This window comes from Homo sapiens, chromosome 3 (assembly GCF_000001405.40).
Source record: "Homo sapiens chromosome 3, GRCh38.p14 Primary Assembly".
Lineage (NCBI taxonomy): Eukaryota > Metazoa > Chordata > Mammalia > Primates > Hominidae > Homo > Homo sapiens.
This window is the reverse complement of record NC_000003.12, coordinates 58,734,875-58,759,082: the sequence shown is the minus strand read 5'-3', so window position 1 is coordinate 58,759,082 and position 24,208 is coordinate 58,734,875. Positions and strand designations below refer to the sequence as shown.

Below are 24,208 nucleotides of genomic sequence, written 5' to 3'. Positions count from 1 at the left end.
AATACCATTTGACCCAACCATCCCATTACTGGGTATATACCCAAAGGACTATAAATTATGCTGCTATAAAGACACATGCACATGTATGTTTATTGCAGCACTATTCACAATAGCAAAGACTTGGAACCAACCCAAATGTCCAACAATGATAGACTGGATTAAGAAAATGTGGCACATATACACCATGGAATACTATGCAGCCATAAAAAAGGATGAGTTCTTGTCCTTTGTAGGGACATGGATGAAGCTGGAAACCATCATTCTCAGCAAACTATCGCAAGGTCAAAAAACCAAACACCGCATGTTCTCCCTCATAGGTGGGAATTGAACAATGAGAACACACGGACACAGGAAGGGAAAAATCACACACTGGGGCCTGTTGTGGGTGAGGGGAAGGGGGAGGGATAGCATTAGGAGATATACCTAATGCTAAATGACGAGTTAATGGGTGCAGCACACCAACATGGCACATGTGTACATATGTAACAAACCTGCACGTTGTGCACATGTACCCTAAAACTTAAAGTATAATAAATAAATAAATAAATAAGGATTATAGTCAGAGCTGAGGAAACCAACCAGAGTATCAAGTCCAAGGGGCAAGTATGGAAATGGTGGAACAGCAAGCAGGAGTAGATTCTGAAGCACAGGTGTCTGGGTAAGAAGCCAACCCACGAAATGGTTCAGAACTAAAGCTAAGACTGGCATGTGGTGAAGGAGCCTCAGCTAGAACTCCCCATTCCTTGAATGTTTGCTGCTTATGTAGGGGAAAGCATGGAGGTTTAAAGGAGTTGATCAAGGATCAAGACAATGGGCCAGCATTAAATATCACATATAAAAATGTAAACATGTAAGATACAGATGCTGGACTGCACATTTCTGCTTAAAAATAAAATTATTAAACATACATAAAGTAAAATAAAAAACAAAACAAACAAACAAAATGCCACCAGAGTGGGGAAATTGTATAACTTGGAGCATCATTTCCCAAGGTGTGTTCTGTGGTCCCAAAAGATGTAACAGTTCTAGATACATAAATTTGGGCAATGCTGCATACTCCAGCCTCCTCTTGGGATACTCACAGTGTTTTCAAAGCTCTGAAAAGTCCTGCAAGAAAAGTCCTGGTTGATTTTGTTTAGCCCAAAGTTTTTTATATTTTAGTTAAAATAGAAACCTTTCTTTTTACATTATACTTTGTAAATGCTTACTTAGTAAAAAGCTAAACAAATGAGTTAGTTGCTTTGATTAAAAATTTCTTAATTGTATAAAATCTTCTAAATCTGTGTTAAAATAACATTATTTGTCAAAATAACTCTATGGTTATTTTAAAGAGGTAAAATTAGATATACCTTATACCAGAACAAACTCACACCATATACCAGAATAAACTAAAAATGGACCAGAAATCTAATTGTGAAAAATGAATCCATTTAAGTAAATGGAAGAAAACATGGGTGCATTTCCACAGAACTTGGTTGTAGGGAAAGGCTTTATAAAAATGACCCAAAATACAGAGACAATTTTTTTTAAATGGCTGATACCTTTGACTACATAAAAATAAAACCTTTTGTATGGCACAAAGAAAAACCACCATAAACAAAGACAAACTATAAAGTGAGGGAAAGATAAAAAATCTGATAGAAGAAAGGGCAAAAGATGTGAACAATCATATATATGGCACATGCATATATATATGTGTGTGTGTGTATGTATGTACACATGTGTATTACATACATGCCCTTAAATATATGAAAATACAGTCAACTCCACGTATAATGAGAACAAATTCAAATCAAGCCTGCTTTAAAGTATCAGTTCTCACCTCTCATATCAGAAAGCATTAAAATATTCACAACATATTCCTCTAAAGTTGCTCTCGGGAAATCAGCATTCTCATACATTGCTGGTGAGAATGAAGACAGGTACAACCCTTGTGAAGAGAATTTGCCAATATCTAACAAAGACAAGTATACATTTATCTTTTGTTCTGGGAATCCCACTTTTAGAAATTTACCTTTTCAGGATTTACCTCTAAGTATACAAAAATAAACATACCCAAGGTTATTCATTTAAGTGTTCATTGCAATCATTGCAAAACATTGAAAACATGCTCAAACATAGAAGAGGGTGAAATGAATGATAGTACCTCCATAGGGTAACGTATTATGCTGCTGTAAAAAAAGGATGAGGAAGCTCTCCATGAACTGGTATGGAATGATTTCCAGGATAAATTATAAGCTGAAAAGATAAAAGTACAAAGGAGTATTATAATATGCTACCTTTTGCTTAAGAAAGGGAATAAAAAACAGACATGTATCTGTTCAGTTTTTGCAAAATGAAACACAGAAAGGCAACACCAGAACTAATGAAATTTATTACCTCTAGAGGTGAGGGTAGGAATAGAGTAGAAGTTATGAGGGGATGGGAACAAACAGGAAGAGATAGGAGGATGTGACTCTTACCCCAAATGTGCCCTTCTGTAGTTTTGACTTTTGATTGTTAATGTTGTATGTAATCCACAACAACAACAAAAGTAATAAAAATCAACAAGAAAGGAGAAAAAAGCCTAAAATGTAACACAAAAGGAAGCAGATGACTTTCGTTGTATTTCGAATGACTAATATACTCACATTGAAAATGGGGAAAAAAAGAACCGAAGTCAGTTTTGAATATAGTATTTTAACCAGAGAAGAAAAATATCTGTAAGCAAATTGAGAACTTGAGAGAGTAGGTTTAGGGTAAGTGTTTCTTGTTTGTTTTGCTTGGGAATTCTGAAGCTACTTTCGGTAACTTCCATAATTCAGGAAGTAGGTAAATATCTTGAGGATACTGAGGGCCAGTTTCCTCACTGTCAGAGGGGGGTTACAAATACGGAAAGAAGAAAGATGAGAATGAACCTGTGGTGTTGGATTAGTATTGGAGGAACCAATGTGAGTGCACAGTTACAGAGGTCAGGGATCATCAGATGTTTTCAGTAAAGGAGCAGATAATAAATTACTTAACTCTGCCATTGTAGCACAAAAGCAGCCATAGACAAAATGTAAGCAAATGAGCATGGCTGTATTCCCATACATTTTTATTTATGGACACTGAATTTCGAATTTTATATAATTTTCATCTGTCATGAAACATTATTTTAATTTTTTTAACCATTTAAAAATGTAAAAACCATTCTTAGTTTGCAAGCTAGACATAAACAGGCAGTGGGCCAGACTTGGCCCATGGGCCATAGTTTGCTGATTCCTGTTTAGATAGATATATAGTTAGGTCAGTAGATACATAGATTAAGAGATAGAGAGCAAATATGATAAAATGTTAAAGGTGGGGAAACTGGGTGAAGGATATACAGTAGTTCTTTATACTCTTCTTGCAACTTTTCTATAAATCTAAAATTTTTTTAATCACAAAAAGAAGAGCCCTGTATTTTTCATAGCTAGTGCTGAAAAGGAAAAACATTGATCAAATTATTGACCTAAGAAGTGAGTGTCTTACATTTCGTAACATTCACACAACTCCCACCTACACTTTCCCCACTGGGGTAGCTCCTACTGTGATTATATAGTTTCTGATTTGTAGCTGGGGGTGTCATGATGTGATTACATTATTTTCTCCTGTTCATCCTTGTTCTTCATCACCCTTATTGAGTAATGAGGTCACTGCGCTGGTAATTTGTATATGACCTTGTAATTTCCTATAGTGCAGGAAGTTTTTGGTCTGCTATAATTAAGTAGCCTAAATAAACAGTGCTTATCAGAAATGCCCCATTAGCTTGGAAGTCTGTGACAAATCCTTTCTGATGCCCTTAATGTGTTATTATGAAATTCAATTACACAGCATGCTCACCTTGCATATTTCACCAGCCACAATGTAGTGATAGCTGTGGTGAGCAGTGACTGAAAGTATCGTAAAATATTATAAGTAGGAATTAGGTAATTTTGACATTAATATGCTTTTTATGCTGGAAAAGCAAATAGTTTGTAAGGAAAATCTCTGTTGTATAGACTGTTAATCATTCTACCATCCTTTACCGGTTTAGTTCCAACAAAGTCCATTTCTACCTTGGTTTATTTATCATTGTAGGTAAGTCCACACCATGATCTTCATTGATAATGAAGATGATAGTGGTCAAAGCTGAAATTTATTGAGTGCTAATTCTGTACCCATATTCACACCAAATGTTTTTCTTCCATTTGTTTCTGTTTAATCCTAACACTCAACTCTTTTGTTATTATCTCCTTTTCACACATGAATCTTAGCAATGCTAAGTGACGTGGCCAAGTTCTTACTGTAGGAAGCACGGAGCTGGAACTGGCCTGCAGAGCCAGTGCTCTTAGCTGTTGTCTAGAACTGTCTCCCATTGTAGATTAATACCGTAGGAAGTACAGAAATTTAGAAAGAAATTATTTAGTTATAAAGACATACTTCTATTGAGAAGAATAAGGTAAATGATAACGGGCACTAATAGCAGTGCAAGAAATAGAATTCACATTGGAAAATCTTTTACATCCTCCTGCCTGCTCCTTACCACTAGTGAAGCTCAGTGGTAAGTTTAGAGATGAGAAGGGCTTAAAGTAGAATATGCAGTGACTCAAGCCTTCTGGATGTCACCAGCTTGAATTCTACCCCCCAGGTATCTACGAGAGGAAGCAAGAGACTGGGGAAGAGTGCAGTAGGAAGGAAAGTAAAGAGATGGGGAAATGCCCTCACTCCCCCTTCCTTTGCCTTCACTGCTCAAAAGCCCCGAGTTAAGAGAGACTGACTCCCACCACTGCTGGGGTCCATGGCAGCTCCAAGACTGACTTCAGTTCTGAGTCACCTTGTGGAGTGTGACCATCCATGACATGTGGCATGTGACTTTGTCACGCTTTCTTACCCAAAGCTCATAAGGAGCTTCATCTCAGCTACGTTTCCTCTGAGTTATTGAAATAATTTCTTATGTGAAAAGAACTCTGCTGTAATTTAATAACAACAATAATAAACTTTTGAGTGGAATATTCATTTAGTTGAAGTATTTCTCAAACTGGCTAGTTAAGTGATTGACTCCATATTAACCAATTTACAAAACTGGATATTGATATCTGGACATCTGTCTTTCTGAAATATGAAGGAGGAAAAAAAGTGTTTCTTTTTGGAAGCCCCAAGGAACTGAAAATCCATGGGAAACCTAAAATCTATATATGGAATTCCAGACATGCTCATTCACTTTGTTTTCTTTTTAGGGACTGGTTAAATATGTTGAGCCCACCAATCGTTCCTCCCAGTCAACAGCCGGCTGAGCAGCGTCCAGATTCCTGTGAAAGTTTGAGTGTTCAAGGTGGGACTATGAAAAACGATATGCATAAGAAAATAAAAATAATTTACTATAAATAGAGAGAATCCATCACTTTGAGATGCCACTGTTTTTATTAAATGTTGATCACTTAGTCTTACACACCCTAAATGAGGTAACCTGAGCCTCATTTTTTAGAATAATGGGTTCTTTACAACTAAAAAGAAGATGAGAGAAACTACCCTTGTTCTTCTAAAGGTTAATACCAGGGCAAAATACAGTTTAAGGTATAAGAATATGGTTTGGATGTCAAATTGACCTTCATCTGAATTTCAGCACTACCAGTTCCCACTGTGTGACCTTTATGAATTTTGATTACTACATCTATAAAATAACACGAATAATAGTTAGTGCCTCCCCGATTATTCCTTGTGAAGATTCAATGAGGTGCTGTATATGAAGCACTTAGAATAGTGCCTACCAAATACCAGCTGTTGGCATTATTATACAGCAGACACGATATTTCAACATCACTCAGATACCTGTTTCCATGAATGCAAAGATACAACCTTTGCATTAAAGCAGAAGTTGTCACGTAGCTACAATAGGTATTAGTAAGATAAAAATCAGAAGGAACCAGCAATGAAAATTTGCCAGGTGTTCGTTTGGTTGGCATGAGCCATAAAGATGAACCATTAGTTTCTGGTTGTGAGCAGGGAACTTGACTGTCAGGTGTGCGTGGTAGAGGAACATAAGAGAATCTCTGGTGAAAACTGAGGAGTTGAGATGGCAGAGGCATGGGGTAATCTCAAGTGCATAATTGGAGTGACAAATAACCTCAGAGTGGGACTCTCTCAGACAGTTTTCTGGGTGGAATTTTGAAGATAGAAATGTTATATCTGAAGCTTTAAAAAAAGTGGGAGTGAAACCAATATAAATTGCTCCAACAAAAGTGCCAGGTTTTGTTTTTTTTCCTAACTGCCCCAGGGAAAAAAGTAGAGCATCGCATTTTTCTTTAGGTATGGAGAATTCAGAGTGAGAGCCCATACATCTGAGTTGTACGTTTTGGCCGCCCAAGGGATGGAGATGTCTCTGTGATTTATTATCTAAAATAGATTATGCCCCTCAAATTGGGAATCTTTTTAGAGGTGTGCATTTATAATTACTTATGACAGAAAAATAGAATCTTGGCTGTCAGGAGGAGACCTTGCTGTGAGGGAACAAATAATGTGTTATGTTAGGTGTCCTAAATAAGCCACAGGAACTGAGAGCGTGGTCCTTGAGCAAAGGCACCCAAGGTATATATTAGCAAGAAACAGCTGGAAGGATGTCTTAAAGTCACCATTGCCAAGCCCGGTTCTGACAGCAGGAGCTCAGTTATGTTGAAGCTAAACAGAACTTCCATTGTAGAAGTGTGCTGGCCATTCTACAGCACATTGTAGAAATGTGCTGGCCAGTGTTATCCAGATCAAGCATCCCTTCTGCCTGTCACCCTGGATTTTTATCAGCTGTCCCCTGGCCCTTTTCTTATATGCTTGGGTGGTTTGTAGTTGATTAATGCCTCCAAAAACAAGCATTTTCTATTTACTCATCTTCCCCTTTTCTGATATGCTTGAGTGGTTTGTAGTTAATTAACACCATCAAAAAACAGTGTTTCCTATTTGGTTAATGGCATGTTAATTGCATAGTTTTAGGCAGCATAAGACAGTCCATACTTAACCAGTATGCTGAGATAGTGTTTCCATCTGTTCTGCTAAAGTGTCAAAGAAAAATTATGGGCTCAAGTTTCCAGTTTATATCATCAGAAGGGGAAGGGAAGTATGGTTGTGAGCAGTCTGGAACCCTTCCTGGGTTCTTGTTGCACGACACCATTCATTTAGCACTTACTTTATGCCAGACACCAAGTCATTACATTTAGCCCTCACACCACCACCAGGAGGAAATTTTGTGTGTGTGTGTGTGTGTGTGTGTGTTACAGCTGAGGAAACTGAGACACAAAGTTCTCAAGTGACTTGCCCAAGGTCCCACAACTACTGAGTCACAAAGTTAGGATTTGAACCCAAGCAGCCTGGCCCCAGAGCCCAGCCATTATATTTTTATCCTTTGTGGATTTTGAACTGGGTAAGTAGATTACCTACTAAAAATATATGTATATATAAAACCAGGAGTTGAAATATTATTTTTCCATTAAGAGTTTCTGATCTACAGGAAAAGCATTAATTAAAATATCTCAAGGGCTCAGTGACTAAGTTCTTTAAAAAAGAGAGAGATACCTCTGGTCACCTGTCAGCCCTCAGCCGGCCCCCTCTCCTCCCACCCATGCTTGTTAGAAATGACAGGGAGCCGCAGTTGACCAGATCTAAGGCAAGGCCAAGGGAGTGAACAGCTGAATGAAGGGTAGGATCGTTGGATATGGAACTGCCGGGCCTGGGTATTTGCATGTTGTTTATCTTCTTACAGGCCTTCCCAGACAGTCTTACCTAAGTAGATCAGTCTGCCACTCACTGTGTTCTCTCACTTCACCTTCTAACATAATCTGCATGCCTTTTAACAGTTTCTAAATCTTGATTTGTCTACTTGTTTATTGTCTTTCCTCCTAAGTAGCCTCTGAGTTTTTAGGAGACTGTCAGTTTGCTCACTCCTGGATCCTTGGTGCCCTGTGCAAATTCCAGCATATATTAGATTCTCTATGTTCTCATTAGAAAGGAGAAGAGAAGGAATAAAGGGAGGAAAGGAGGTTGAGAAATACTCTTTAACTCGTCCTTTTTTTTATTACAAGCGTGGGGGAAAAAAGTAGAGCAATTCATTGAAATCTGACTTTCAATTTTCCCCCCATTCCAATTTTTTTGGTATATTTGGTATATTTCTAAAATTTAATTATGAGAGTATTGAACTTTGACCCATATATTTTGGCAGTTAAAGAGTTATAGATCACCTTATGCCGTGGCTCTTAAACTTTATTCATAAGCAGTAACAACTTTTCTTTCAAGTGAAATCTCATATGGATTCCTCATGTATGGAAGAGATAAAAGCTCTGCTCTGGCTAAAGTGGGGGTTAGGATCTCAGAATCCTGCCCTGGGGCTCTGATGAACCAGTTAAAAACACTGATGTGGTCCAACCCCTCAATTTGCCTAAAGAGGTAAATGACTTGACCAAGATCAAATGCCCAGTCAGAGCCCTAGCTGGGATTAGGGCCCAGGCTTCCCCCACATCATTGCCCTTTCTACAGAACCATTTCACTGAGGTGTGAATGTGGTGCCTGAGGGCTCATTCACAGGGAAAGGTATCGCCCACCTTTGGACTTCTAGGATATAAATAATAATAGCTATTTATTTAATCTTCCTGTGTTCCGGGCCTACATGTGCACTTGAATTCTCACAATAGCCTAGTGAGGTGTGGATGCTATTATTATCCCATCTTCCACATGGTTACATTGGGACTTAGGGCAGTGCAGTGATGTGCTGAGCCATCATACCTCTATCAGAGATGGAGAAGCCAAGATGCATTTCTGCAGCTGGAGGAATTACTGCATTTTATCAGCAGGGAAATATACTCTGCCTGATACATAATTCTAGAAAACTTGCCCCAGGCCATACAAAAGTAAATGCATGAGTTATATCTGGCCCTTGAGTCAGAGGTTCCTGTCCCTACTTTATTCAGTAGGAGTTTGTGTCACAGCCAGTTTCTGCTCAGCCAGAATGTCTCAAGTGCATGAATGCCACATTCATGTGAACAGCCCGGTTTCCATCACAGCCGGCCAGCAGGAAGAGCACTGCATTCGGATCTCTGACATCCCACTGGATGGGAAATGATCAGCTCTTCACAGCTCCTCCTGGGCTATAACACACTTGCTGAATATCAATTACTATCGGACATGGTGCCCTTAACACTTACTAAAATGTGTTTTCCTGGAACTTGTGTGAAATGTAAAAATGGGAAGTTAAGATTTCAGAACTTATTTGAGAAAACTACTAAAATGACCTTTTGAAAATGAACCATACTTTGCTCAAAGAATAGTTGTCAATTTGTTTTTGACATTTGTTCCTTTACAGTTATGACCCTTAAATTATTCATGCTTACCAGCTCCAAAATGGAATAATAACCTCTGTCTTCAGGCCTGTAGCCCTGTCTTGTAGTTTACATAGATTTTGAGTAAGAAAGGCATTCAGAAGGAGTTTGGGAGTTGCCTGATTCTCATAAAAATAATATTCTTATACCTTTTTTATGGCAAAGCCACACCAAATATTCCCATATGGTTGTTGATTAATCTCCCATGAGATATAAATGGGTAGCAGATGCTTATTTTATAGATGTAATATCCAAATTACTAGTAAAGAGTTTACAGAAATGTTATGGCTTCTCACAGCTAACCAGAAAGAAGGAATCCTCCTGTATTGAGGAGATAGAAGCTCTGTTCTGTGGGTAAAAGCTCTGTTCTGTGGGTAAAGTGGGGGTTAGGATCTGGCTGCCTGCTCTTCTCCAACAGAGGAATTCTTTCATGCCCTCCTATTAACTGCCACATAATTCTTTGACATTTACCTAATACTCTGAGTCTAAAAGTTGCTGAACAACTCTGGTATCCCCAATGCCTAGTGTGGCTTCTAGGACACAGTAAATGCCCCATAAATATTTGATGAGTGAATGAGTGACTCTACTGGCCATAGGAAATATGAGAATGATTTGATCTATTCTTTTGATCTTTTTTGTACCTCGAAGATTTATTTCAGATGCAAAGGAGACTTTTCCCAAAAGAGCAATATTGGTCATATGAAAATAATAAGCCAGCATTAATAAAGCACCATTGTGTACCCGGCACTGTTTGGAATTTTTCTGTGCATTACCTCATACCTCCTCCCAACACTGCTTAGTGTGGGGTTATATTATGTTCCCACTTTACAGATGAGGTAAGGGGCTAGCCTGGGTCACAGACCCTGAGTGTGCATCAGGACACTGACCCAGACCTGTCTGACCAGGGTGTCCACACCCTTAAATCCCACACTGTAGTGTGACCACAGAATCCCTATTTAGGTGGATAAGAACCACATGAGTGAAATATCCACTGCAATTTTTTTAATTTAGGAAGTTGTATTTTCTTGAAGCTTTCTGGATAAAATAGTGTTTACCTTGGTACTCTTCTTAGACCCATAGCACCCCCACCTCAACTCTCAGATTATAAAATGATTCCTGGTTTTTCTAACATTCCTTTAATGCAGAGACCCCGCCCCTTCCCCTGTGAGTAGGGTGATATTTTCTCTTACATAGCTCTCAGGGTCCTGGGGGAGTCTTCTCTGCAGGAAGTGATTACAGACGGGGGAAATCAGTGCCTCACTAGTATCAAGAGGTGCCTTCTTTTCAGGGCCACTAGAAGTGAACTCTCCAGTAGAGCGAAACACATTGCAGGTGTCTGAGGCTCTTTCTCCTATTCCAGAACCACCCCACCTACCTATCCACCACGTGCAACCCAGAAGGCTGGTCCCAGCTTTCCTTGCTGGAATTGGGATGCATTTTCCCATAGCTCAACGTTGATACCTTGCTTAAAATCAGGCTCCTAAGAGATTATGGGCTCTGTTGGCTTCAGAGCTCAGTACCTTGGAGAGGTGCCCTCCTTCACGTGTAACAAAGTGCGTTTAGAGTTGTAAACCACAGGGTTACAACTGCACATCTGAATCACTGCATATTTGTAAGTAGAGACTACCTGAAAATAATGAAATTGTAATAATTCCTAATTAATGATCCAAGTTCTTCAACATGTTCCCTAAAATGGCATTTTCCAAGTAAAATATAGCCACCAGTTTTTACAAAAGGGGTAATGTACCTATTGCCCAAATGACACCTGAAATATAATAATGCAATGTTATTTACCTTTCAAAAACAATATAGCCCTCTAATTGGAAGAAAGTAGCATTTCATTGTTTTCTTTCCATTGTTGGTTATTTATCTTTCTCCCATTTGAGGGTACATGTTTGCTGAGAACTGAAATTCAGCAGTTCACAGTGGACTTTCTCAGACTTTAGTGTGAGTTAATTTTGCCCTACTGTGAGATATGTTGGTGGTAGAGTTTGCAAGCACCCAGTACTCAGCAGAAACTTATCTAAAATGTCATCTTCATTGATCCTAAGGCTGACTGCTCCAAATGGTGATCCCTCACTGTTGAACTGCTTAAACAATAGTGTATTAGTATGCACATAAAAATACAGTCAATCAGTTCTCAAGATCTATAGGAGAGAAAATACATTAACTTTAAAAAAAATGTAGACGGCAGTGTCAGAAAATCGAAAATCCAGTTCAATGTCTTGATTCAGAGATTTTAAATCTGATAAACTAGTGCCACATCATTTATTTTCAAGCTTGAAGAGACATCTTGGGTGTGTAGGTTTTCTATTATCTACAGTTAAAATGCATTAAATATAGATAATTAAACATTTATATTAATTGACTTTCAGAAGGTGAACTGGAGGGATTATTTACCCGAGCTGATCTACCCAGAGAAGGGCAGCCCGTATTGCTGCATTTGGTCTGGCTCCATTGGTTTTTCTTCTGTTATTGCCGTTAACCAATTTCAGAGTGGATGAGGCTGAAAGTTTGTAAATAGATTATTATCTGAAAGGTAATTTTATTTCACTAGAAATGGCTTTATTGTGTGTAGAAGAGAAAAAAATGTAATTTGGACCCCTATCCAGATGCTCTTAGTCTAGTAGCAGAAAATGGTTTTATTTGTTAATTTGTCCTTCTAGAGTTTCTGTAGCCAATCTTTAAATAGAGCAATTTAGCATTTTGAGGAAAAACAAACTCAGCTCTATCCAAGAATATAATTGAAAATTACCCCATACCCATCCACGATAATTACCTTTCAAAACATTTCCCAATGCTTGACATCATAGTGGTAATTGCGTAATGATATTATAATTTCATTACGTAGGGATTATAATGGCAAAATGATGTAAGTTGGAGGCTTTGAAAATTAAGTTACAATGAAAACAAAACCTTTTATGTAAGCTTAAAGCACTTACTTCAACATAAAATTATACATAATCTCACCCAATTTTTGTATGAATGTCATTGTTGGTAGTTTTAAAATTCATCCATTTGAAGCTTTGGTACTAAAAAAACCAAAAAACCTATCTTAGTCCCCATGGTTATAATGCGCGAGGGTCCCATTCTATAGTGATATGTATTGGAATGAATGCATTTATATCGCAGTTATTGCTCCAGTTTGTATGCATTATGTAGCAAAACCTCTACTAATGAATTGGATCTACCTCGATCCCTTTGCAAATGGGTGATAAAGACCCATGGCCATTACAATGGTTGTTTTCATCTTGAAAGATTCCCAACTGGTTGTAAATATATTTTGTTTTCTCATTTAATAGCACCAGCTTAAAAATGTATCTTTTTTGCAAACATAGGCACAGAATACACTGAATAATTATATAGCATATAACTCTTACGTGCCAGAGGTCTGAGTTCCCCATGATGTGCTGATGGAGTAAGACAGAATCCAATGGCAGGTCCCTGAGAGTTTCACTTATAATCATTTACCTCAGGGATATGTGATTTAAACATTACACCTGATGGAAAAAATTAGTTTTACTTTTGGAAACATACACAATTTTTGGTATAAGAACTGTTTTTTTATTTAAAGATGAATTTATCCTAATGTTCTATATAAAACTAATTGGGGGTCTTTCTGTTTCTTTCAAATCCACTATGTTTTGGGGTTGTAAAAAAAATCAAACAGATTGAGTTTTCAGGTAGGGAATAAGGTATAAACGTACATAACCCTTTTTGTGTCTGGCTCACATATCCTGTTTTCCATGATGATGGTGATAACATTTACTGAGTACTTACTGTGTACATGTGCTGAGTGTTATTTAGTCCTCATAGGAACAATGACAGGTACTTTTATTATCTGTACTTTACATATGAGGAAGCTGGGGCTCAGAGCAGTGAATTTCCCAATATCCCACAGCTGTGATATGGTAGAAATGGGATTTGGACCTGAGTTTGTCTGACTCCATTGTCTAAACATCATCCTTCCTGCCTCTATGAAGCCTTTTCTTCACACTTTAAGCGACATCAGTACTTCCATCCTGAGTTACTAAGAAAGTTATAGCCTATAGTTCATGATTTATTATATTATCATCCCTAATAGTAACTATCATTTATTAAACAACTACTATGTGTGCTGTGTTATGCATATTACCAGTGTCTAATTTAATCTTCCTCAAAACCCTACCAAATAGGCATTGTTATTCCCATTTTGTAAACAAGGAAACCAAGGTCCGATGAGGTGAAATGATCTGTAGCCAGCTTTAGGCAGTAAGCAGCCCAGCTTCCATTCGCCCCCAGTGTATTGGATTCTAGAGCCCTTGAGTGCTCTTAGCCACTCAGCAGTAGAGCCTTCCAGTTTAACTCCTCATTAATCTTTAGTAGCTGCTTTTGCTTCATGTGTTTGTGTCACATTCACAACTAGACTATGCCCAGCTCAATCACATAGCAGATACTAATTGATAAACTAACTTTATTCATTTCTCTCAAGTAGTCCAAACTTTAAAGGCATAATGGATTGAATATCTGAAAGTAGAGGATGTACATACTCTCCTTTGATGTGAAAAAGTGATCTAAAGGGGGTCATTTTCAATATGGAATGACCATTTGAGGAATACTCTCAAGGATAGAGGCAGGGCCCTGGGGACTCTGAAGACAACAGAAGAAGATAAAGGAAACGCAGCCTTCCTTCTCTGAGTTCCTGTTCTTAATTAGAAACTGTGCAGGGTGGTCAGGTCAGCTACCATTATTAATGTGGTTGTTAGCAAAGTCCTTTCATACTTCAAAGATATAAACTGCTGCAGCCCAGAGTCACAGAAGCTCATCAAAAGCACTACAGGGATCATTGGATCTGGTCCCCTGTTCTAAGCACAGTTCATCTACAAAATTCTGCACAAATCGTTGCCCCACTCTCTGCTTCACCCTTTCCAGAGTACATGTTTCATTTGCTGGTCAGCTCTAATGCTTAGAAAATTCTTCCTTGTGCTAAGCCTCCCCAAAAAAATGGCTCCTCTTAGCTTCCACCTGTTGATCCTATGGCTTCCTCCTGGAACCCCAGATTTTCTTAACTTCTCACTCCTATGCCACCCTTCATATGCTTGAATCCAGAAGGGCTGCTGTCACCTCATCAAGCTTTCTCTTTTCTGGAGTTAACAAGCCCATTTCCTTTGGACTTATTGAACTGTTTGCCTCTGCCCTCCCCCAGGGACTCTCTCATCTTTAACAATATTTTTGAACTATGAGAAATCAGATTTCTTTGTTTCCAAACCTGACTTATTAAAATGTAGGACACTTTTAAATTTTTTATTAGTCTTTTCTATGTCTAAATTCCTTCAATGTAATAGCTCCGAATTAAACATGTTACACCACTCCTTTAGCATAATCAAGGTCCGACTGAATAGACTGGTACAAAGTACTCTGACTGGTAGAAAGAACACTGAACTCTTACTCTGGAAACTGAGAGTGTCCCCAGCTCTGCCTCTAACTCACCAACAAACCTCAGATGAGCTGTTCAACTTTGTGAACCCTGGTTTCCTCATCTATAAAATGGGCATGATAATTCCTGCGTATTCCACAGGGTCATGAGGGCCAAATGAACTACTACATGAGAAAGAGCTTTCTAAACCATCAAGGGCTCTACCAATGAGGTATTAGCAACCAAGGCAGATGTAATCATTCCTCAGTTGAACTCCACTTTTAAAGACTGCTAGCACTGCACTCAACTCACAAGAATCAGCAGATTTCACATTTCACCTGTTTCTCTGCATAGTCCATTAGAATAGGGATTGTTTCTTGTCATCATGTCCTGAACACCTAACTCAGTGTCCGGCTCATGGAAGGATCACACTAAATGTGTTTTTGGATGGTTAGGAGAAAAGTGGGCAGAGGAGTGGCTGTGGTACAGTTTTAAACCCCCACTTCACCATGTAGGCACCACTCCCTTGGACTTAACTCCAGTTTGTCAATGTCCTGACAATGTTCAGGCACCAGCTTGGTCTGATTTTGGCTGAGTAAGATGGAACCCCACAACCACCACCACCATCCTCCCTTCCTCTAGGCAGTGACACTTAAGATCATGGGCTTTTATTTACACCTTCAACAAACATTCCATTTTTATTGCACCTCTATTATGAGTGAGCCCTGCACCATACCCACCATCCAAACTCTTCTGAAGCTCACCCTGGTGAGCACATAGCCCAAAGCTTCAGGGTTGGGTTGGGTTTGGGGTTTGGTTTTGGTTTGGTTTCGGTCTTTAATAGCCTGTGCTATTGAAGGGAGAGGAGTGTTTTCTTATTACCTCTTTCTACCTGAGCCTACTCTCTGATCTTCTCTGGCTGGGAAGGTCTTGACCTCTCAGTCCCTGAACTCATTACATGAACTTTCAGAAGTACTCAGAATGCACTCACTTTTGAATACAAAAGTACTTAGCACAACACTGAACACATAAAAGGTGCTCAGGAAACATCTTTGTAGAACAGTTGTTTTTTTTTTTTCATTTCATGCCATTTGTTGGAAGCCAGCAGGCCTCGATAATGACTTAGACAGTTGTCCTCTCTGTCCAATCCATCTAAATGGCTGTCACGAGAGAAAACATCAAGCCATGTTCTATCCCCAAAACACTGAGCAGACTTCCCGCCACCACTAATAAAACTACAAATCACCTGACATTTTTTTTCTGTGTATGTTGTCTGTTCTATGTATCTTATAGTTCTATTATTTTAATTCATATTTGTTTGGTAGCCTTTTTAGGATGATTGAATGCGGATCAAGTTTTCTATTTTATTAGTTAGTTTGCACTGTTTTGCATTTTGTACAGCTCTGGCCCATGAAGAAGTTTAGAACTGTGACAATTAGTTTTGGATCCTGGCAAGTTTCCTAATCCTAATAAGCATAACTCTTAAGTCTTTTGGCCCTCTCCCTTTCTTCCTTCCCCTCCTGCCAGTTCTCCACACTCAGTTTTTCTTGTCCTTTGTCAAGAAGTTGGTCCTTCTGGTCACTGGTGTTTCTTCTCCACCTGGAACCACATGTTTAGAGTCTCACCACTTCCACAGTGCTCTTCCTTCAGGCCTAAACCTTCTACCTGCATAAAGAAAATCCCCCAGGAGAGATGGTGATTCCTGCTTCGTTGCCCTTGTTTGGGGATTCCGGGCCAAGCCAACAGCTAATGTGTCTGTGGTTCCCCTTCCCCACAGGTGAAGAAGACCTCAGTGTGGAAGAGGACGAGGAAGTACTGACTTTGTTGTATGACCCTTGTCTGAACTGTTACTTTGACCCCCAAACAGGGAAATACTATGAGTTGGTATAATGCCTCCTTCCGGGGCAGAGAGCAGGCACTCCCAGCTGGAGCAGAATAGCAGTTCAGGGTCGCTTAAGGAGTCACCACAACTTATGTGTTGGGTGACCACAAAATCAACAGTAACTGAGAGAAACGAATTCATTTTGTAAATAATGTTCAACGTTAAGAATACCTATATTCCTTTTGTAGATGAGTATGATTTTGAAACTGAAGAAATTAATACAGAGGCAAGATTTTAGGAGTTTGAATTGGTTCTTGTTTGTTCTCATTCTACATATAATTTTGTTTATTTCAGATAATTTTATGTAAACAAATTAAGAGTTATTCATTCAAATTTTTTGCAGTGTTAATCTGTAAATGATGGCTTGATGTACAGAAAATGTATTTTTGCTTAAAAGATGCCTGGGTACCTTTTATTTTATGGCATTTGTATTAAAAATAAAGTATGATGGTAAGAAGAATAGCTTTTAAACTGCTTCTTTTCATTCACCCCACTTTCTTTTCCAGAATATTCCTATATGATACTTTCCTTCTCTTCGACTCTTAGAAAAAGAAACATTGTGAACTGGTCAGACTTTATGATCACATTTTATTGGCACTGGACCCACTATTTCCATTTCATTATTGTTCATCCAGAGTTTGCTGGAGATCACAACATTGTTCATCACTTAAGCTGCTTAGCACTGTATTTTTCTTTTAAAAAAAAAAATCTTGGGAGGCAGAGGTGGGTGAATCACGAGGTCAGGAGATCGAGACCATCCTGGCTAACACAGTGAAACCCCATCTCTACTAAAAATACAAAAAATTAGCCGGGTGTGGTGGAGGGCGCCTGTAGTCCCAGCTACTCAGGAGGCTGAGGCAGGAGAATGGCGCGAACCCAGGAGTCAGAGCTTGCAGTGAGCCAAGATCGCCCCACTGTACTCCAGCCTGGGCAACAGAGCGAGACTCTGTCTCAAAAAAAAAAAAAAATATTTTGACAATTATCTCTGAATTCTAATAATAGATTCATCTAGATCTATATAGAAATAACCTCTTTGAAATCCCCCCACTGCCACACACACACACTCATCACCACTCCTGTGACCTGCCTGGGCCTGAAGAAATCCCAGAGGCTTTCTTTGGTTTTTCAGTTGATGTCCGTCTAACTCTGCTTGCCGGATCACAAGGAAAAAGTCATGTGCTTCTGCATTCGGGTAGACAGCCTCGAATTGTGTGCCAACTATATTAATATTGAGCTCAAGGAAGTACTTATTATATTAGCTGGCATATTTTGTTATTTAATAAAGATTTTTTAATAAAGAAGAGTACCATTGGAAATGAAAATTTATTGGTGTACAGTTGGATTTAATGGTGGTACTATAATTTCATTTAATATTGCTTGATAGAGGAAGTAAGAGCTCTTTTTACAGGAGTAGATTTGGACTCCTGTTCCAAGTATCATACATTATTTAGAACCATATTTGTGTTTGATAAGCTTTTAATCCTGTTGTTCACAAAGTATGCCTTTGTTATGAATTTCTCTCCAAGATCTTCATACTTAACAAAATGAAAATGAATAAATTAAGCTTTCCAAAGCATGCAAAATGATAAAAGAGTTGGGTTTGTTGATTATGACCTTAAAGATTGTAATAGGGCTTGGAAGGCCTTGTTTCTGCTTTAAATAGTCTCAGGACCATATATAAGGGACATATGACATAAATAAGAGAGTCAATTAAAATTTATATTCGTGAAGACTTGTAGTTATAAATATCAAAAACAACATGAGCTAGATGAAGAAAAAAAAAATTAGGATACAGGAATGCCTCAAATGCCCCAAAACAGAATGCTGTAAGGCTATAAGGCCTCTGAATAGATTTGGGCTGGGACCTAGAGGACTGTAGTGAACTCTGTTGGGATTCTTAAATTGCAAGCAACAGACACCCTTGATCCCAGAATTCAAAGACTTGCTGAACAATCAAGCTCTGGGAGGCACAGACATCAGAGCAGCCCCAGAGATCCCTATAGCAGCAACCAACAGTTTCTCATGATGATGGCCACCAAATTGACAGCACCACTTTTTTCTGCCTCAGGTCTCTGCTCAAGGAGCAAGAGGATGGTAGGATTAACTCATCAGTTATCCCCAGGACCGCATGGAATGGGAATGAGATACTCCCTGAAGGAGAAGAGGGCACTGTTAAGAAAATGGGGAGGGGTGTCAGACAGGCAAAAACCACAGATGTCTATCCTGGCAGTCTAGAAGCATTGGCTCTGCCGCTCATCTCTGATTGATTTTGCCATCTCTTCTCTCTTCTCTCTTTTCTCTTCTCTCTTCTCATACATTTCTCAGCTACTCAGTCCACCTGCCAGAGCACCCAACCACTCCAGTGCCCACATACCCAACCATGCAGAAATGTTAACTCCCAATGTCAATTCAAAAATCCCAGAATTGGGATTCCAGTTCACCAGTTTGTTTGTTCCAGGGGCCACCAGGACCCTCTTCTGTGGATGAAGGAGGAAAGCAATTAAGGAGTCCCTGTGATCTGAGTAGACATTCTAAAGGTGTCTACCACAAGGTCTTATTATCCCCTTTTTATAGCTTCATTTCTGTTGAGATTTCTACAGAAGAGTTGAAAAACAAAAATAGATGTGCTTCCCAGTGCCAATTTTAAATTAAATTGGTACCACCAGTTTACTTGGAAATTCATTAACTAGGCTATACATGTTCACTGGTTATCAAATTTCATTGCATATTAGAATCTTCTGGAAAGTTAATAAAAATACCGATGCCCAGGTTCTACACCCAGAGAGTCTAACTTGCTTAGTTTCAGGTGTAGCCTGGGCACTGGAAATTTTTAAAACCTCCCCAGCCATGCCAATATGCAGTCAGGGTTGAGACCATTGCTATAGATTAGATCTGACATGCAGAGAAGGCAGGAGCTTTGCCTAATGGCATATGCACCTGTGAGGAAGAGCCTGTATTATTAGTTTTCATTTTAAGACTTTAATTTCTACTTTTCTAATCAAGTGTGTACCAAACATTTTTATCCAAAATGATTGCAAATGGAGACTAAAAAAAATAGATTGATTCAATGTAGAAGTACATCTTAAGATAATTTGGTATCAGTTTGGGGACTGATTCAAACAGTTCCTTGTTTCATATAATCGGGATGCAACTTACAAGTGACTTTTAAGTCATCAATCTCAAAATTATCATGTAATTACAGAGGCTGGTTAGTGGGAATTATGGGAAAACAACTGTCAGCAATAGTGGCATCAGATCAATGATTTAGTTTCCCTGGTAATTATAAGTTCTTGCTATCTCCAATTAATTTAACTTTTATTAAAGGAAAATACTGATATATTCATAATACATAGACACTTTTGCCAAAAAAATCTTGCCCTATTATATTTTCTTGATTTTTAGATTAGTTTCATTTAAATCAGTCATTTCAATAACATCTTGATCCTTCTTTAGGCGCAAACTGTGTTTAATAAGAATAATGTAGTCACAGAATGTACAACCTGAAGCACAATTAATTGAAAGAATTAATTTAAAAATTGTCCCATGGTTTTAATTAAAGATCTTGCTTCTGGAAGTTTCTGAGCTGTTCTTTTTTAAAAACTGTGGAATGACATCAAGTACACTATCAAAACATGGTTTGTTCCAGGTTACACCCTGTGACTGTCAAACTTCAATCAAAATGGCCAGAATAATGAAAATTAAGAATCACCTTCCTCAAAGACCTAGAACCAGAAATACCATTTGACCCAGCAATCCCATTACTGGGTATATACCCAAAGGAATATAAATCATTCTACTACAAGGATACCTGCACACATATGTTCATTGCAGCACTATTCACAATAGCAAAGACATGGAATCAACCCAAATGCCCATCAATGGTAGACTGGACAAAGAAATTGTGGTACATATACACCATGGAATACTATGTAGCCATAAAAAGGAAGGAGATCATGCCCTTTGCAGGGACATTGATGGAGCTGGAAGCCATTATCCTCAGCAAACTAATGCAGGAACAGAAAACTAAACATGCATGTTCTAACTTATAAGTGGGAGCTGAACAATGAGAACACATGGACACAGGGAAGAGAACAGCACACACTGGGGCCTGTTGGGGGTGGGGTGAGGGGAGGGAGAGCATCAGGAAGAATAGCCAATGCATGCTGGGCTTAATAACCTAGGTGATGGGTTGATAGGTACAGCAAACCACCATGGCACACGTTTACCTACATAACAAACCTGCACATCCTGTACATGTACCCTGGAACTTAAAAATTAAAAAAAAAGAATTGCCTGTTATCACCTGTTCACATATGGTTTTATCATAGGATTTCTATTTCGTACATCATTCATTTTGCATTCCAGAAAAGTTAGTCATAAAGAGAATTCTTGTCAAGCAAATTCTATTTTCTCTTTTTCTCCATTATACTAGTTAAGATAAAATTGTCTAATTGGGCCTAGAAAGGACAATCAAGATCATTCTTTAAATGCTCTGATTTTACAATTGAGAAAAGTGAGATTCAGATTGAGAAGTCCTGTCAAGGTGGGAATTGAGAAGAGAATGCAAATGACAGATGGAGATGGACATCACAAACCCGGAACAGAGGTCACCTGAGGACACTGGCACCCTTTCAGGAGTCTGGGATTTCTGGTTCTCACTGAGCATTTCCGTTTCTTTTGCTCCATGCACACTCTTTTTTCCCTCAGTTGTCAGCCTTTACACCTCAAGGATCAGCGTTTCCCAAAATGTTTTCCAAGAAACAGAACTTCCACTAAATGTTAATAAATGCAGTGGGAGTGGGGAAGAGGTCCATTGTCAAACCAAGGTGGAAAATACTGGACTAGTGGTAATTGTCATTTGTCTTTACTGGAGTAGTTCTCAGTGGCTTTAATAGACTAACATGCACAGGTAATCTCCAGTGGGTGAGTGACACTTCTCCAATTTGTCTACAGAACTCTTTTTCTGTAGAACATCTCAAGGGTTTTATCCACTCACATCCTTTGAGAAATGCTGCTGTAGATCACTCCTCCAGAGCTGGGAGCCCTGACTCCCACCAGAACTCAAGAAATGTGTCCCCCATCCTCAGTTTGTTTGTTTGTTTGCTTGCTTGCTTGTTTGGTTAGTTGGGTGGGTGGGTGTGTGTCTGTGTGTGTGTGTGTGTGAGAGAGATTTGGTAGTGGGGTGGGGGGTGGTTAGTGGAATTTTGTGTGTTTCTTTGCTTTTTGTTTTTTGCTTTGCCCAGATATTTCACACACTCCTGACCAGGCTGTAACAAGATGATTTTTTAGACCCACTTTTCATCCAAAACAAGGTATGCTGAAGCCTGAACATTTCTTAAGTCTGAGGCTTTGGTCTCTTGCAGATATTTTCTTTGTCATATTTTAAATTATACAAACTTATAACTGTAGGTAATATGGTTAACTTATAACAAAGGATAAATCTAAATGAAAGTTCATTCATCATGAATATTGGAGTCTTACATCTTAATGAATATTTTGGTTCTGGTTTGCGTGGTTTTAATGTAATTTAGAATCACATTAAGTCAAAATAATTTGACTTATAAGAATTAAATGACCAATAAACATGGACCACAGATAACACTAATTTTTACTGCTGACATATTCTTCTGCAGTTAATCACCTGTAATTCTGTGAGGCATTACGAAAGTGATGTGTAGGAAATAGTATTGATTGGTTTTCATCAGCCCAACTTATCATTGTCAATGTTTATGCTGAACCTGGCAAGATTTAAGCATATAAACTTGCTCCTAATGGTAATAAGTACGGTCAATATTTTAACAGGTGGATCAGGAGAAATTAGCTCTAATGTGCTGTAGCGGATACTTCCAAAGCCATGGGAGTGAGGTGCTCTTGAGACCTTAAAAACTGAGATAAGCAAAATTATATGAGAGTATTTGGCTTAAGAATTCCAGGAGGGAAAAACTCTCTTTATTTATTCTGATAGTATGCCAGTCTGAAGTATAACTTTTATTAATGATGGAGTTTTAGTAATCTATAAATAAATCATGAGATTAATAATGGGATTAGAATCATCCCCAGTTTTGCTTTATGGCTTCATAAACCAAAGATTATCTCAAAGAAAATCAATCAAAATTTCACCATTTGTTTTTTCCACTACTTGCAAAAATGATTCAGACATTTCAGACCCTGAAAACTTACAAACCTTTTAGCCAACTCAGTTGAAGAGAGCTTCCTTTTTCCTTTAAAACTTTTTTGGCCAAAGAAATTGATATTACTAGCATCTTCTTGTGGGTTAATCTTAGTAAGCATAGTATCTTTTTCCCTCCAATACTTGTGTTTTCTTTGACTTTTGATATCTATGTAGTTCTAAAATTCATCTCAGTACCTAGGTCTGGACAGTATACTTATAATATCTTTTCAATTCACCTGTTTCAAGAGATTTTAATCTTCTCAGGTCAGGTACTTCTCAAGAACATCACCATTATCAAGAGATATTTGATTTAAGTTAAAAAAAATGGTGGCGCCATTTTTTAGCTAAGCATAAGAATCTATGAGTGTTACAAAGTCCAGATAAATAGTAAGTCCAGAGATTCCTGTTATAATCGGCTGTGGTCAGCAAATACATTATCACTGGTAATGTTTATATCCTTAATTTATAAGGGACATCACTGTTTGCATTTTTAATACATTTTTGATCACCTTTTCCATGTTTTGCTAGTTGTTGCTTTCAATCTAATATAGTGGCTGTCAGCATTGACTGCACATTGCATTATCTGGGGACTCTAAGATATGCTGCTGCCTGGGTCCCATTCATGGAGATTCCTACCTCCTCTGGCCTGAGCTGTGGCCTGGGCATCATGATATATAAAAGCTCCCCCAAGTGATCCTAATGTGTGCCAAGGCTGAGACCCTCTGGCTTAACCTATTCTCATTTCTTGTCTTTATTGCTCTTCTTCACTTCCTGTGGTGCCAGAATGAGCAGTTTGGGAATTCCCAAAGGCACATGGTAGCAGTGACGTTTGAGAGTTTCAATCAACAGACTAACCATCACTTGATGGATTTCATTTGTGGGCAATCCAATAATGTTCTGACAACTTGCCTTAACCCCATGTGGTTGATGATCACTAGAATGGAAAACATGACCTATTTTGTTTTGTTTGGCTTTCTTCACTCTGTCTTGTACGCATTTTGAGCAAAACTCATTTTCGTTCCCAGGTGTCAGATTATATGCTATGTGAACATAGCTAGGTTTCAGCTTCCAAATTAACAAAGGGAGAAAGGTTTATTAAGTGACCACGTGAAAATGATGGAAGCCACTGGTTTAGACTATTAAAATTAGTATGTGTGTGTCTGTGTGTATCTGTTTTATTACTAGGATCCACCAGTTTACAAAACCTTTGTGACTTAGCATTATTAAGTTAAATATTATTAGGAGGTTTTGGAGTCTTTCCATTTATAGTAGCCCCTGGTGAGTCAGGTCTCTTTTTTCCCACATAAAGATGCCATCTATTTCAATCTGAGCAAAGGTGTAGACCTGTGGCTTTCAATTTCCCATTATCTGTAGCGTTCTTCTAAATACGAGATGATGGGAGAGCACTAGGAATTTAAAAT

At 38.5% G+C, this 24,208-nt stretch overlaps 1 protein-coding gene across 25 annotated transcripts in view; it reads left to right on the top strand.

Annotated features, from left to right (window-relative positions):
* CFAP20DC (CFAP20 domain containing) overlaps nt 1-24,208 on the top strand; it is a 333,853-nt gene that overhangs the window by 290,943 nt on the left and 18,702 nt on the right. For 16 of the 25 annotated variants that reach the window (NM_198463.4, XM_011533456.3, NM_001351531.2 and 13 more), the window contains 2 exons: nt 5,220-5,314; nt 16,511-17,075. In NM_198463.4, the coding sequence (NP_940865.1) occupies nt 5,220-5,314; nt 16,511-16,623 (208 nt within the window). In that variant the 3' untranslated portion in view covers nt 16,624-17,075. Of the gene's footprint in view, nt 1-5,219; nt 5,381-16,510; nt 17,076-24,208 lie in introns of those variants that run through there. The other 9 variants (XR_001740051.3, XR_007095648.1, XR_001740054.3 and 6 more) reach the window with 2 other exon arrangements.